General features: G+C 39.6%; 1 long non-coding RNA gene across 16 annotated transcripts in view; it reads left to right on the top strand.

The window, feature by feature from the left end:
- Window positions 1-15,568, top strand: part of LINC01811 (long intergenic non-protein coding RNA 1811) — a 276,733-nt gene that overhangs the window by 213,012 nt on the left and 48,153 nt on the right. For 5 of the 16 annotated variants that reach the window (NR_183687.1, NR_183691.1, NR_183688.1 and 2 more), the window contains one exon: window positions 14,516-14,756. The exons of the other annotated variants lie outside the window; for them this stretch is intronic. This is a non-coding gene — a long non-coding RNA (long intergenic non-protein coding RNA 1811). Of the gene's footprint in view, window positions 1-14,515; window positions 14,757-15,568 lie in introns of those variants that run through there. 16 annotated transcript variants of the gene reach the window in all.

Genomic DNA, 15,568 nt, shown 5'->3' on the forward strand with positions numbered 1-15,568 from the left:
AACTCCTGACTTCATGATCCACCAGCCTTGCTGGATCATGAGCAAGGAAAAGCATTGCTCATTTGGGCTTCTTCCTTTATTCCACCACCACCTTGAGAATGATGTGCCTGGGTTAGCTTGCTTGTCACAGGGGAGAGAAGAGAAACAAATGGACAGAATCACCCCAGCTGAACCACCTCCATGGAATCTAGCCTCAGTCAGCTGACCCCAGTCAACATCCAGATACATGAGCTAAATAAGTGCTCATTTAGAGTACTCTAAGGTTTTGTAGTTGTTTGTTATGCAGCATTATTGTGATGTTAGATGACAGACACAGGCTTGAAGTACAGTGTTCGTTGAGATAGAAAGTGTTCTAAATTATTTTAGTTCCCATTTAACATAGCAGAAGTAGGTCTGGTGGACTAGGTCATAAAATTTTATGCATGGGAGGTCACAGGAAATCCGGAAGAGACAGGGAGGAAAATTTGCTCTTTCTAGTTATAGCAGATGTGGGAAGAAGAAGGAAGATGGAAAGGGGGCTAGAGGAATCAAATGGCCAGAGCTGTGAATGGGGATGGAATTGGCATCCCTGAATTACCTTTAGTTCCTTTAGTGGCATGAAAAGAACTCAGGAATGGAGAGGGGATGTGCCAAGAGGAGGGACTTACCATGGGGACAGCCACTTGCCTGTGGGGAGAGGGAAGATGACCCTATAGCAAGTATGGACTTAGACATGGCAGAGACTTTGAGTATCTCTGAGAGGCATCAGGGAGAGTCCAAGGGAGGAATAGTACCTCCAGCTCTTGAAGAAACAGAGAGGCTAGTCACACCAGCCAGGGACATCATAGCAGCTTCTGGCTGAATGCTTGGGGTGGGACTGACCTCCCCTGAGGGAATACACTCTAGAGCACAGCCTAGCCCTACCTCTTCACAGCCTAAGCCAGAAGAGAGTCATAGGGCACCAGGTCAATTCAAGGACACTAGATTCCCTTCTCTACAGCCCACCCACCTGATAATACACTCAGGGGGATGAGATAGAGCCTATGAGAAGAGCTTCAGAAATCTCAAGAGAGTTGGTCATAGAATTTTGTGCATGGGAGGTCACTGCAAATCCGGAAAAACCAGGGAGGAAAATCCACTCTGTCTAGTTCTGGCAGATGTGGAAGGAGGGAGGGAGATGGAAATGGGGATAAAGGAATCCAATGGCCAGAGCTGTGGATGGGATGGAGTTGGCAACCCTGAGTTACCTTTGGTTTTCCAGTGGCATGAACATAACTCAGGAAGGGAGAGGAGGTGTGCTGAGAGGAGAGACTTGCCATGGGGACAGCCACTTGCCTGTAGGGAGAGGCGAGGTGACCCTACCAAAAGTGTAGATTTAGACATGGCAGAGACTCTGAGGATCTCTGAGGATTTAGCTTAATTCAACAAGTCTTTACATTTAGAATCAGATCCAAGAATCACAGCTTAAACTAAATTTAGTTTTCTTATTTTACTCACCTGAGGGATGCTTGTGAGGAAGAACATACCAGTCACAGAACAAACGAAGAAACAACATTGTCTTTGTAGACAAAAAAAGTAATGTGGATGGATTTTCTATCCTGCCATCATCCCCATGTCATAAAGTATGAAGTAATGGCAAGCTTCTGCTTGATGGGGAAGCGACAGAGACAGTATCTGACATAGAAGGAAAGGGACAAGGTGAGGGTAGGAGTCCTGAAAATTGCTCTCTAATTACAAGTTGAGTCTTACAGGATCAGTAGCAGGTCCCAGATGCAGAACCAAAGCAAAGGAGGATTTGAGAGGGAGGAAGTGGCATATGCAAAGGGCTGAGGTAGAGAGAGAACACTTGCAATTTTTCTAGCTGACCTGTGTAGGATTTCTAGTTTCCTCTTAGCTAGGACACTCCAGGGTGGAATGGATTTTGGCAACCTGGGAGGAAGGAAGGCAGCTGTGTCTGCGCTCCCTAAAGCAGAAACTTCCTCTCCCCTCTCTTCCCTCCTATCATTCCAACATATCATGTGAATTCTCAGGGATTTTGCTTTACTTGTAAGAAATGTAGGAGTGTGGGGCAGAAGTGGGCTGGCAAATCGTATTCTCTGAGAATATGGCAGTATGCAAGGTACTTCACACATTATTTGTTTTATTCTCATAACAGCCTTCCTATACTTTTATTATTTCTGTTCCATCAGCACATTCACTTGGCTCTTATATTCAGAATATAACCAGGATCAAACCATTTCTTATTTCCTTACTTGCCTGTTGATCCAAGCCACAACTATCTCTCACTTGGACTGCTTTAATAGTCTCCTAACTGGCATCCCTACTTCCACCCTTGACTCCCTGCTCTCCACCCAGTGGCCAAAGTGATTCATGAAAAACACTGAGGTCTGATCATATCACTTCTCTGTCCAATGCCATCCAATGGCTTGCCACACTCTGCAGTAAACCTGCCATTCTTATTGTGGTCTATGAAGCCTTCCATGGTCTGGCTGTATACATTTCTGTTTCCCAATCTCCTCTTCCATCTTTCCCCTCCATTCTACTTACTTTTGTCACTTTGACTTCCTTGGGGTTTCTTGTCACTGTTCCTTAAACATGACAAGCACAATGGAACCTCAGGCTCTTTGCATTTGTTTCCTCTTTATGGTATGTTCTTTCCTCAGACATCTATGTGGCTGTCTCCCTCCTTTCCTCCAGGTTGTCGTAAGAGAGGTCTTACTGGTCCAGTTTTACCCTACTGTCTTCATGCTTTGTTCTTTCTCTCCTGTATTATTTTTTTCTGCATAGCACTTATCACCACTGACATAAGCTGCTTTCTGTTTATTCTCCCTCTAAAATGCATGCTCCGTGAAGGCAGGGACTTTGTGTTTTGATGTTGTTTGTTTGGTTTGTTTTGTCTTCAGTACCTAAAACATTGCTTGGCTTGCATAGGCACTCAATAAATATTTGCTGCATGTGGCTCAAGGAGTTTAAGCAACTTGTCCAGGGTTATAAAGTTAATAAACAGTAAAACTAGGATTTGGACCCAAGCTCTGCTGGCATTGAAGATCACGCCCTTTGTAATTTATTTTCTCTGCCCCCTGCCTACTACATAGATATCAGGACTAATAGGACAGACCAAATTGTTTCTTGTGGCTCTGATTTCTTTAAAGAAATATGCTCAATAAAGAAACATGAGGGATAATGAAAAAAATTACTACTTTTGGCAATCCTGGACATTAAAGGAATGCAAACTTCAATTGCTTCTCTATAATAAGATATTGCAAGGGTTTTCAATTTCGTTTTCCTTGTTTCTATCTGTTCAAGAATCCTTAATTAAATTTAATTTCACCTGGTATTTTTCCTTTACCTAAAAAAAGGGAGTCAACCATAAAATCAACCATAAAACTGGCTACAACAGTTTCTGCCATGATTGGAAAAGCGGAGAGAAGATAGCATCTGATGTACACAGCCAGTGGGTACTGTGTTCTCAAGGATGTTATGAAAATGACAATCCCTTTGGCCTTCTGCTCTAGCCTAGGAAGGCTGGGCATGCTGGTACCATACTTCCCTGGGCTCACTCCCACTCTTGCTTTCTGGCTTATACTCACATCACCCTATGAAAGTGGCTATAAAGGTCAACTGGCTTTGGGTGCACCTCTTATATTTTTGTTGAAGATTGTATTTTCCAAAGTTGGCTGCATATCTATATCTATATCTATATCTATATCTATATCTATATCTATATATATATATATCCCATTCCAAATGACATTTTACAGTGTGACATGGACATGCCTCCACTGGTCAGTTTCTTTCTTTGAATCTGGATAGGCCAGTGACTATGGTGGAAAGGATGCTATGAGACTCTGAGGTTGTCATAGTGGTGATACAAGTTCTGCCTGGTTCTCTTGGGGCACCTAGCCAACATGCTGTAAGAAAACCTAGCAGCCAGGTGAAAGGCTATGTGTGGTAGTTTCAGTCGCAGTGGAGGGCTCAGCCACCAGCCAGCATCAGCTGCCACGTTGAAAGGATGAGAATGTTCCCAGCCTTTGAGCTGCTCCAACTAATGTCATGTGGAGCAGAGATGAGTTATCTTTGACACCTCTGCCCAAATTTCAGATTCATGAGAAAAATAAAGGTTATCATTATTTTAAGCCATTAAGTTTTTAAGCCATAAATGTTGAGATCAACATAGCATAGAGCTATGTAGAGAGTACATCTTAAGTGAATGTGGGGTAAATGGATAGATTAATAAATTAACCTTTTTTTCTATGTGAATTAAGGCAAACACAATGCCTATTTCTTACCAATTTCACAAATAGCACGGCCATTACCACAGTGACTATTTTGTAGAGAAGTTTTTTTAGGACACAAAGAACTGGACTGAAGGAAAAAAACTTACCTTAGGAATGGGGGCCAGTTATTCAGGCCTCCATCTCAGTAAGTCACTGATTATAGCCCAGGGTGGTGGTAGGTCAGCTGCAGGTCAGCCTATGTCATTTCTTCAGAGGAGGGGGCAGGGGTCAGTGAGTCACAAGCAGCCAGTACTCACATCATCCGTGGATGGGGGCACTGGCTCGGGAAAGGATGCAGGGAGGAACCCCAACAGCTCCCATTACAAAAATCAGTTATGAATTAACTCATAGGATACTTTCCATCCTCCTTCTTCCCTTCGACTTTCTAACGCCCCCTCCTACCACCAAAGGAATTCTCCTCTCTTACTTCCCCTCAGGGGAATGGGCTGTGAACTGAAAGTCCCTACCCAGCTAGTAATAAGATTAAAGAGGCAAAAATAGACTATATTTTGGAAAGGAAAAAACCCAAATTTGTCTTCATATTTAATCTTTTTTATTTGTGCCAGTAATTTGTCATTTTAAGAATCAATGTTTGAATGCCCAGATAAAGTTAGGAGAGTTGACAATTAGAACTTTTTAAAGTGGCGGCAGGACAAGTACAGTCCTTTAGAGCTCAGGCCTGTGTCCATGAGTGCATAAACTGGAAGCCATACAATGGGTGTTGAGGCTAGAATATTAGTCGGAGTAATTATCCTTAGTGAAGTAATTTCTCTTTTATTACACAAAGTTAATGTTGCACTTGAAAATGATGTCTTCTTTCCCCAGTTATGCCACAGTCAACCTCCAACTGATGAATGGATAGTAACAAACAGGGCAAAAATATCATTAGATAGGTAGAGTAAAAATATCGCCAAATAGAAAAAGAAGAGTAAACATCACTGAGAAGCACAGATAAATGGCAGGATCCCAGGAAAGACCACTGTGTCATTTAGATTCTCCTGGAAGCAGGTGCTGATACAGAGTTAGGAGTGCGAAAGACTTATTGGGGTTGGAGTGCAAAGCCTGTGACAGAGTGTGGAGGAGGGAGGGAAACTCTGACTGTAGTGCTGATCTCATAAAGCCTTGACCAACCCAAAAACAGCCCCAGGGCAAGGATTATCCACTGGAGGAGTCCTGCATACGACTGAAATGTCCAAGTCCTAGAACTTGGACATAGGTTCTATGTCCATAGCTGGGGGCTGCCCTGGAAGAGTACAGCCTTCCTTGAAACCGAGGTGAAATCAGAGGACTAGACAGCTAGAAGCCATCAGGTAACTGCAGTCCTTGCAGCTGAAAGGAAAGCCCTTTCTCGAAGTGAGGGAGCTGAGCTATGTACCTTCACTGCTGCCACAATCTCCAAATGGCGGCAAATTTTCATAACTGGAAGGGCCTGGTGAGAGTGAGAAGCTCACTCAGCATTGAGCTCTAAAGAAGCCTTTGCCCTCTGGCAGTCGCCCTGCTGCGCTGCTCCCCTTCCGTTGTAGCTAGTTCCTGCCAATGAGGAAGTAAGGGCCACAATCTGGACTCTGAGAGCAAAAGGCTGAGTTTGTCAGGAATCCTGGCCAATGTTTCACTTGACACATTGTGCGCATTGAAGCAGGCCAGGACCAAGCTGCCTGGTGAGGAGTGAGGACAGAACCAGGCCCTTCTCTTCTTCTCATCCTCATCCTCTTATGCTCACTCATTATCAAGGAAACTCTAGTAGACAGAAATGTCCAGTGTATTCATTTTGCCCACTGGATTTAGCTATTTCACTGGCATTGGATGGAGTGCTTCCATAGGACAGAGGATCAAGGGGCTCCGAAAGCTCTAAAAGCAGTGCGACTGCAATGCCAGAGACAGGGTTGGCAGGAGAGAGCCATGCTCACAACCTTTCATTTCCCAACTTGTTCACTTGGGATTGCATACTATGAAACAATCACGGGGTTAGATGTGTCTGGACACCTTCAGTCCTGTAGGATTTGTCTGAGAAATGCTTTGATGACTTCCTGCTGACTGCTGAGATCAACATACTTTTTCTCTCTTAAGTTGCAGAAGCACAGGGAAGGCTGGGTGAAAAATCCTGTCCCAGTTGTAGGCCAAAAGAATTATCTGTCCTGGTTTATCTTTTTAAAAATGCCCATGCTATTTTCTAGCAAAACAGAAGGAAAAATGGCAGCTGAGGCTACTGTAGCGTAGGAGGAAAGTGCTGGTCATTTGAAATCAAAAGGCTGCATCTGAGTGTGGGAATTACAGTTTCTGGCCATGGGGATTTGGGCAAGTTTTAAAATTCCCCGGTATCTGTTTTCTTCTATATATAAATTAAGGCATGTTTTGAGAACTCCTGCTACAGTTTGAATGTCCCCTCAGAAACTCACGTTGAAAATCCCCAACATGGCAGTGTTAAAAGCTGGGGCCTTTAAGAAGTGATTGGGGTAGAACCCTCATATATGGATTAATTCATTCATGGATAAATGAATTAATGGATTGATGGTTTATCATTAGAGTGGCAGTAGTGGTTTTATAAGAGGAGGGAGACCTGATCTAGCGTATTAACACACTCAACTCTCATGCCATGTGATGCTGTTCATCACCTTGGGACTCTGCAGAGTCCTACCCAACAAGAAGGCTATCACCACTAGATGTGTCTCTTTGACCTTCGACTTCCCAGCCTCCAGCACTGTAAGAAATACATTTTGTTTCTTTATAAATTACCCAGTTTAAGGTACTCTGTTACAAGCAACCAAAATTGATTAGGACACTCTCCTTTCTTTTCTCTTTCCCTCTCTTTTCTGTCAACGCTTCCTTCCTTCTTTCCTTCCTTCCTTCCTTCCTTCTTTCCTTTTTCCTTCCTTCCCTCCTCACCTTCTTCCTTTTATTATTCAATACACATTTATTGACTGCAGTTTTAGGCACTGGGGAAATATGGATCAACAAAACCATTGATGACTTTAAAAATCCTAGTGCAAGAAAAGTAACAGCACAGTGTGTATATGCAGTGATAGATGTTCATTGCAGCAATAGGACAAAGTTATTTATTGCAGAAGAAGTATAAAGGAGAAATTGATTATTGTTTTGGGAAGGATCACAGAGGACACAATGTCTGAGCAAAAGTCTGAATAGGGAATGGGTTGTGAAAATGTACTAGTTGGGGCCACAGTGGGAATGAGAGAAAGAAAGTCAGTACAGAACATCATGTGCAAAGGCACTGGATACAAACCATTTGGTTATTGACTTGTTGAGTTTGTGGCACCTGTGAGACCCCCAGGTCCTTCTGACAACTGGAAACTCAGAGCCAGATGAGTGGAGAATAAGTGATTAGGACTAGAGGCTATGTTTGGGAATCCTTGGCATATACAAGGCAGGGGACTCAAGAGGATTTTGATATCTTACAATAAAAAGGGCTGGGCCAGAACCCAGGGAAACTCCAAAACTGGAGTGTGTTAAGAAAGATGTCTACCAATGAGGTCTAGTAAAGAAAGTGATGGGAAGAAACTGGATCGAATCACACTGCTGAGAACATAGCAGCAAATGTGTCAAGAGCTTCAAATGCTGCAGGGAGGCCAAGGTCAGTGTAAACCCAGAATTTCCATGGAATTTAGCAATTAGGAGGTCAATAGTGAGGGAGGGAATGACGTGACAGTAAATTAAGGCATATGAAAAGGCTTTGAAAATTGTGAAGAGCCATGGAATGAAATTCACCACTCCAGATTCTCAGCTTCTCAATTATATCAGGTGGATAACAGAACATCAGCATTTTAAGTAGACACCCTTGGGCTCATAATAAATGCTTTTAACACCTTTACATCCTTATCTCAAAATTTGCTTCTCGTTGGCTCCAGATTGCCTGAAATTTATCACATAGAAGCAAAAATAAAATTGGGGGCATAAGAAAGAATGTGAGAGAGAAACTGCAAGTTAGGGGGTCATTGCTATGTGGGAATAAATAATCCTGGCAACTGGATGGCTATGCTGAAATGTGGAATTTATTCTCCAAAGGAAAAAGCTTTAATCTTAAAGTATGTTTTGGATAATGTTAATAGGGAAATGGCTCACAGCAGAACAAAATAGATTTCCCAGCTAATAGTTTTATCCTTTAAAAAGAAAAGGAAACTAATATAACAAGAAGAAAAGTATGGTTGGTGAGGAAACCATATCTACAGACTGTGTGAACTTATAAATCAGTGTAGATATCATGGTGCATTGCAAGTAACTCATGGCTGTGTGTAGCAAGGGGACAGCTGGGGTCAGAGTTGTGGGACCCTGAATCTATTTGATTTTTAATACTTATTATATCAACTGAACTCTATGCAAATATCTAGAAAGGAGTCTCATAATGTTGTGTATCGTGGCCATGACAAGTGTTGTTCCTGAATTTGGGCTTGAACATACCTGATGCATTCCTGCCTTGACACTTACTGTTTCCTCTGCTTGGTTTGATCTTCTCCAAATGTCCAAATGGCTGTTGCCTTCATCATTCCTAGGTCTCTACTTAAGCATTACCTTCTCAGTGAAGCCTTCTCTGACAGTTTTATTTAAAGTAACACCTGCATCTATCCACCAGCTCCTCCTCTCCCTTTCCTTGCTTTATTTTTTCTCTGTAGTACTTATTACCATATAACATATATTTTATTAGAATATTAGCTGCTCAAAATGATGCCTTTGATCACTATTATACCCCAAATGTCTAGCAGAATGCTTGGCCCATAATAGGCATTTGGTAAATATTTACTGGATGAGGAGAGGCATGAGCTTTGGCAGCTGTCAGGTTGCCAGCTCCAGAGGATTGTAAAATTTCTAGAAAAGTACTTCACTCAGTTAGGTTGCCATCAAGTTACCACATAGACTTCTTTGTTCACCAGGCTCTGTGATTCTTGCCTCTTCATTCAAAGCCTGCACAGCATTGTTCATGGTTTCCAGGAACTTCCAGGATGTCCACTCTGGGCCTTTTCTCTGCCATCATATAAACTTGTGCTTCCAAATGCCTGCTAGGTTATAGGCTGAAGCCATTCCTGAGACGTAAAGATATCTAAAACATCAATGTTGGAAGGAGCCTGGAAAGCTCATTTGTCAGTCTGCACTTCTATAGATGGAGAAACAAGAACTCAGAAAGGTGTCACAATTTGCCTGATGCCATGCAACCCATTCGGTTAGCTGGAGCTGTTGAGGGATGAGAAAACTGAAGTTGTATGTTATCTTCAGATATGTTATCACATATAATCTCCACAAACAGTGTGGGTCTGTTATGATTCTATGCATGGGCTGAAACATAGATTATCAGAAATGTTCAATTACTTTCACCAGGCTGCTCAGTTAATGTGTGTTAAGGTCAGGTTTGTTTTTATTCCAAACTTATGTTATATCAACTAAACTCTATTTGCGCTGTAACTTGTGGGGAAAAGCCACACACTGGGCCCTTGCATAGGACAGTGTGAAAGTGGGTATGCACTTACATCTTTCTTTGCTTTTAGTTACCTTCAATTTCTGATAGCTTTCACCTTTCTTCTTGTTACAGAAAAGGCTAAAGGTCAATCATCATTTTTACTTCTCTCTTTCCTGCAGCTGCACCTGATATTCCTCTCCTTTGGCCTCTCCAATTAACTCTTAATGGTGCTCAGTTTTGTGTATGTCTTATAGTAAAGAGAAACAAGACCATTTGGTCATCCTACTTTCTCTTACTGTGTAGTCTTCACTCCTTCTTCAAGACTAGGCTTCCTGAATGAGTTGTTTGCATTTACTCCCTTTCAATTCCCTCCTCAACCCTCTGCGGTTCTGCCCTTAACACTTGCATACTGTTCCTGATAAGAGCACTAGCAATCTCTTTGTTAATAAATCCTGTGACTTATCTTCAGATTTGTCTTACTTGACACTTTGACAGTATTTGACATGGGGAACCACTTCATCATTCTCCAAACTCTGTCCCTTGGATTGTGCATTAAGATGCTCTTGGGCTTTCTGCATACAATTCTCCAACTTAGTAGTTCTTTGCTGGATCTCTATGGTAGATTGCAAAGACGACTTCAATAATATCTCTTATCCATGTGCATTTGTCCCTATACAATGCAACTTTGTTGATCCTCAATCAAGAAATGGAGTTTATTTCTGTATCCATTTAATCTGATCATAATCACATGATTTGCTTTAAGGAAATTAGCAAATAGGATTTAGAGAAATTAGCAAATATGATGCAAACAAGGACTTAAAAAGTGCTTGCACAATAGGTTTGTTCTCCTCTGACTGATTGGAACTCTGAACCCATAGGGTGGATGTGCTGCATGGAGCTAACCTGCTAGTAGGGTCACATGAAAGGGAATTAGGATATTCTGACTTCCTAATAACCAGATGAAAGGAGACTGTTTTAGATGAATCCGTCCATTTGAGTCACCAATCCACTGTAGCTATATGAGTCATTGCAAGTGAGATCAGTGGAAGAAACACCTGAATAAACCTGGCACAAATTGCCAAGCTGCAAAGTATGAGTAAATAAAAGTCACTAGGTTGTGGAGTATTTGTTATGTAGCAATAGATAACTAATATAGCCTTCTATTTCACCTGTCTCTTCCGTTTTAGTGTTTTCTTCTCAATCTACTCATGTTACCGTGTCATATCCTCTTATCCAAATATTTAAATTAATACAAATATTCTAACAACAAATGCCATAAAACAATATCTCCAAAGCAAATATTTAGCCGATTCTTTGACTATAAAACCAACTGCCTATTGAATCTTTGCTATGCTTCTTGGACCTCAAAATTATCACATCCCATATGGAATTCACCCCTGGAACTCTGAATGTATTTCTTCTGTTTTTCCCTCAGAGAATAGAACAAAATCCTGCACATTTTTTTTCAATCTGGAGACTGGATCTCTTCCTTGTCTCCTCCTGTCTCTTGTACTCAACATTTAATCAATCACCAAGTCCTATGAATATTCCTCCTTGATCTCTTTTAAAATTGTTCACCTCTATTTGTCCACATTACCACTATGTTAATTCTAGCCATCATAATTTTCTGCTGCAATTACTTTCAACATCTTTTTAAACAGATGAACTCTTACCATTTAACTGCCAGTGAAACAATTCTTGAAAACAATGTATGTACGTCAGTTTTGGGCTGTAGCACATAAATAATAAATTTATTATAAATGTCTTCCATGTGTATTACATGTAAATCCATTTTATAAGTTCATTAGATGAAATTTGTTATTTATAATGTCGTAATCTTCTTTATTTGACTTTGTTTCCTACTTGTTGATTATGGGAAGAGGTGTGTTAAAATCTCATGCTTTGGAATTATCTAATTCTTTGGGTAGTTCTATCAAATTTTGAGTTTTATATTCTGAGCCTATGTTTTTTAAGTGTATAAAAGTTTGAAATTGTGATATCTTCTTGGAAGGAGTATTGAGTTTTTAAAAATCATTATGAAGCAACCTCCTTGATAACAAATAATGCTTTCTACCTTAAATCTGATTTTGTGTGATACTGTTTTATGTGCTGATATTTGCTTAATACATTGTTTTTATACATTTAATTCACAGCTTTTCTTCACCCTCATGTTTTAGGTATATTTTTATCTAGTTTTACTATATGTTTTAACTGGTAGGGTTAGTCAATTTCCATTCACAGTGATTACTGATATATTTGGATTTATTCCCATTCTCTTATTTTACACTTTCCATTTGTCTAGCTTTAAATTTCTTTTTCCTTTGAATCAAGTGAGGTTCCCCCCACCCTCATGATTTCCTTAGTTTTCTTGAATTATTTTGGAGGTTTAAAATTCCATTTATTTTATTTAATTGGTACCTCTAAGTTTTTACCATGTATGTAATTTAATAAAGTCTAAAATAAATTTTAAAATTGCCTTTTTCCCCAAAATGTAGAAAATTTGAAATATTTAATTTTCAAATACTCTCCCAGAATCTATATATTTTTACCTAAAAACTTTTTTGTATTTTATTCACATTTTAACACGCAAAAGGGACATTGCTATCATTGTTTTTACAATTAAATGTGTTTAGATTTATCCACGTTTTAATTATTTTCTTTGCTCACTATTCATTAGTAGATCTCTAACCTTCCATTTGAAATTATTTTCTTCTTTCTTATTTCTAAAGAATATACTTTATTAAAAATATTATAAATATTACTAAAGTATATTCTTTAGGAATTATGTTATTAAATGTCTGTTGGAAGCTAACCCATGTTTTGTTTGTCCGTAACTGTCTTTATCTTACCTGCATTTAAAAAATATTGCCTTGATGGTTATAAAATTCCTCATTGACAGCTCTTTTATTTTAGTACTTTAAATGGATTCCACCATTACTACTGGGAGTCAGCCATCAGTCTAGATGTCATGACTCTGGAGGTAATCTGGTTTTCTCTGGGTACCTTTAAAGACTTTGTTTGTTTCTTGGTGTTTGGCAGATTCATTACATTGTGTCTTGGCATGGGGCTCTTTTTATTTATCCTAATTAATGATTAGAGAACTTATGTCTTTTATCAATTCTGTAAAATATTAAGTCATTAGCCCTTCAAATATTATCTATCTACCAGCCTATTATTTCCTTTTAAAATTCCAGTTAGGCATGTCTTAGGTCTCATTATCTCTGATTATACTTTTTATCTCTATGCTACATTGTAGGTTTTTTCATTTTGTTTTTTTTTTTTGGCATCTATCTTTCAATTGAGTAATTCTCTTGTCATTCTGGGACTATTTCTAGTTCAATAATTCATGCTTCAACTGGGTCTAATATGTGATTTAAACTACCTTCTGAGTTTTTATTTTCATTTATTGTATTTTTCATTTCTACAAGTTCTCTTTGAGTCTTTCAAATATGCTGGGTCATTTTGAGACATGATTTTAATGACATTTATTTCCTCAAATGTATTACACACATATGTTTTAGATTCTATGTGAATCTAATCATTCTAAAATCTGAAGATGCTGTGCTTTACTTTGCTCATTTGGCAAATAAAGATAAAGTAATTGTTACTCACTGGATTATTTTGAAGATTAAATGCTTCCATAAATATAAATTTCTTAAGACAAGTATCTAGCACACTACAGAGTAACCTATACAAGTGTTAGCTGTTTTTATTATTATTGCTGCTGTTATTGGTAGAATTGATTTTGTTGTTTACTGACCCCAAGTGGCTTATTTTTCTCATGTGTTAAGTAATTCTGATTGTGAGCTCATATCCCTTATTATCAAACATTATAAGTTGAAATTTCTTAAGGCTTGTATGTAACGTGCATTCCTCCAAAGAGGACTTGCATGAGCTCTTGCTGAGCCGTGGGGATACTACCAATCTTGATTAGTTTAAGTTAACTTTTGGCTTGGTTGTTTTTATGCCACATTGACAGTGTGAATTTTAGCTCCAATTTTGCCTGAGGGTTGGGTAGTGGTTATAAATTCTTAGGGGCGACTTGTTTCCCCTTTACTCAGAAACAAGGCTAAATGAGGCAAACTTCCTTACTGTCACTCTTTTTGAGATAGGTTCTTTGCTAGTTTGCCTGGTGGGGTTGTCACTCTTTAGGGCTCCAGGTTTTGTGGGTGTCACTGATTGCAGGTTTCTTTGTATGACGATCCTGTATCGTCAAGGCCATTCACTAGCTTAAGTGCTCACTCACTTTTGTGACTTCTTTTTTGGGGGGTCATTTTTGACTAATTTTCTTGCCATCTCACCCCTCCCTTAAAAATTTATTTTGAGCATTTTATCCAGAGTTTACAGGTGTTTTGAACCCAGAGATTTTTCCTGTAAAGGGTAGTACATACTTCAGGCTTTGTAGGCCATATAGTCTTTGTTATAACTATTAGTTTTACTGTTGCAGGACAAAAGCAGCCATAAACAATATGTAAACAAATGAGTATGACTGTGTTTCCATGAAACTTTATTTACACAACTAGGTGACAGACTAGATATGACCCATAGGCTTTAGTTTTCCAATCTCTGTTCTATAACATAGCTGAGATTAGAAGACACTGGAATAATATTTCTGAAAGTGTTGCTTTTAAGATTCTTAGCACTCACTGCTAAAGGGGAACCACCTTTGGTTACTGCCTGATTGAAACCTAACACTTTGCTTTCTTTTTTGCTTGGAACTGAAAATCCCATAGGAGAAAATCCAATAGGAGTTTCCAAGGAGACAGCCTGTGGGTTGGAGGGGTTGTGGTGGGGGTGAGATAGCACACAGCTAGAGTTGAGATGTGGGGAAAACTTGAATTGTTTGTTTGCCTTTCAGGTTCTTTTTGAGGGGAGTCTCTCTGATGCTTGGAATGAATCCTGCTGAATCAATGCTGATGCTTGGAGATCTTCAAGTCTTTTCCCTTTTTCCCATTGCTCATGATGTCTATATAACCTCCAAACATGCATCCCACTCCTCTGCCGAAAGACCATTTTTTTATATCTTCAGTGATGGTCTAGGCCAGGTTAATTGACTTTTCTTTTTTCTTAAGCCAACTAAAGTCCTCACCACAAATTAATGTTATGTTTTGACTGACTCATTGGGCCTGAACAATAATGTTATTTCTCGCAGTGCACTAAAAAGGGAGTAGAAAGGGAAAGGTGGATGTATTTCTTAATTTTCTGTAATCTAAGTACTGAAATCTCACTTTTACAACAAAGGCAGCTTTGATATAATTTTTGGAAACAAGCTTTCTGCTGAGCTGGTTGTGAAATCTCATTGGTTGGAGAGAATTCAAGTGCATGTCAGTGAGCACAGGTGCTGGAAGTTGTAGGTAAGGAGTCAGGAGTGCAGTCTACAGGTGCAGAAAAAAGATTTTCATGGAGACCCCCAGCTCTAAATGTAGTTGCTCAAAAGGTGGACTTTGCCATTCACTTATGTGAAGCCCTTTGAAAATCTGACATTTCTGTGGGCCTGTTAGTGGCGAGCCAGAGGGGCTTGCCAGCTTAGAGGTTAATTGTGCTAATTAACAGAAAGGACAGAGGCTTCAGAAAGTGCCTCTGTGGACTGGAAAATTTTCCCAATATTTCATTAGGGTGACTTTGAAAAGGTTGCAGGCAAATGGCACCTTTCACTTTAAAAATCTAAACCATGGCTTTTTAACCATTTTTAAAGTTTGAGTTTGAAAAGTCCACTTTTAGTGTTATTTAGAAACTCGTCCTATGGGAAGTCTGGAGGAAAGGAAAGACTACATTTTTAAGTGCATCATTCTCGCCTTTCATTCCTTTATGCTTAGCTTTTTATTTCTTGGCACTTATTTTAAAAGCCTTATTCTCTCCTCCTCCCAGTGCAAACCCACGCCATATCCCTGAATCTGTTGTGGAAGAACAG

This window comes from Homo sapiens, chromosome 3, assembly GCF_000001405.40.
Source record: "Homo sapiens chromosome 3, GRCh38.p14 Primary Assembly".
In the NCBI taxonomy this organism is placed as follows: Eukaryota; Metazoa; Chordata; class Mammalia; order Primates; family Hominidae; genus Homo; species Homo sapiens.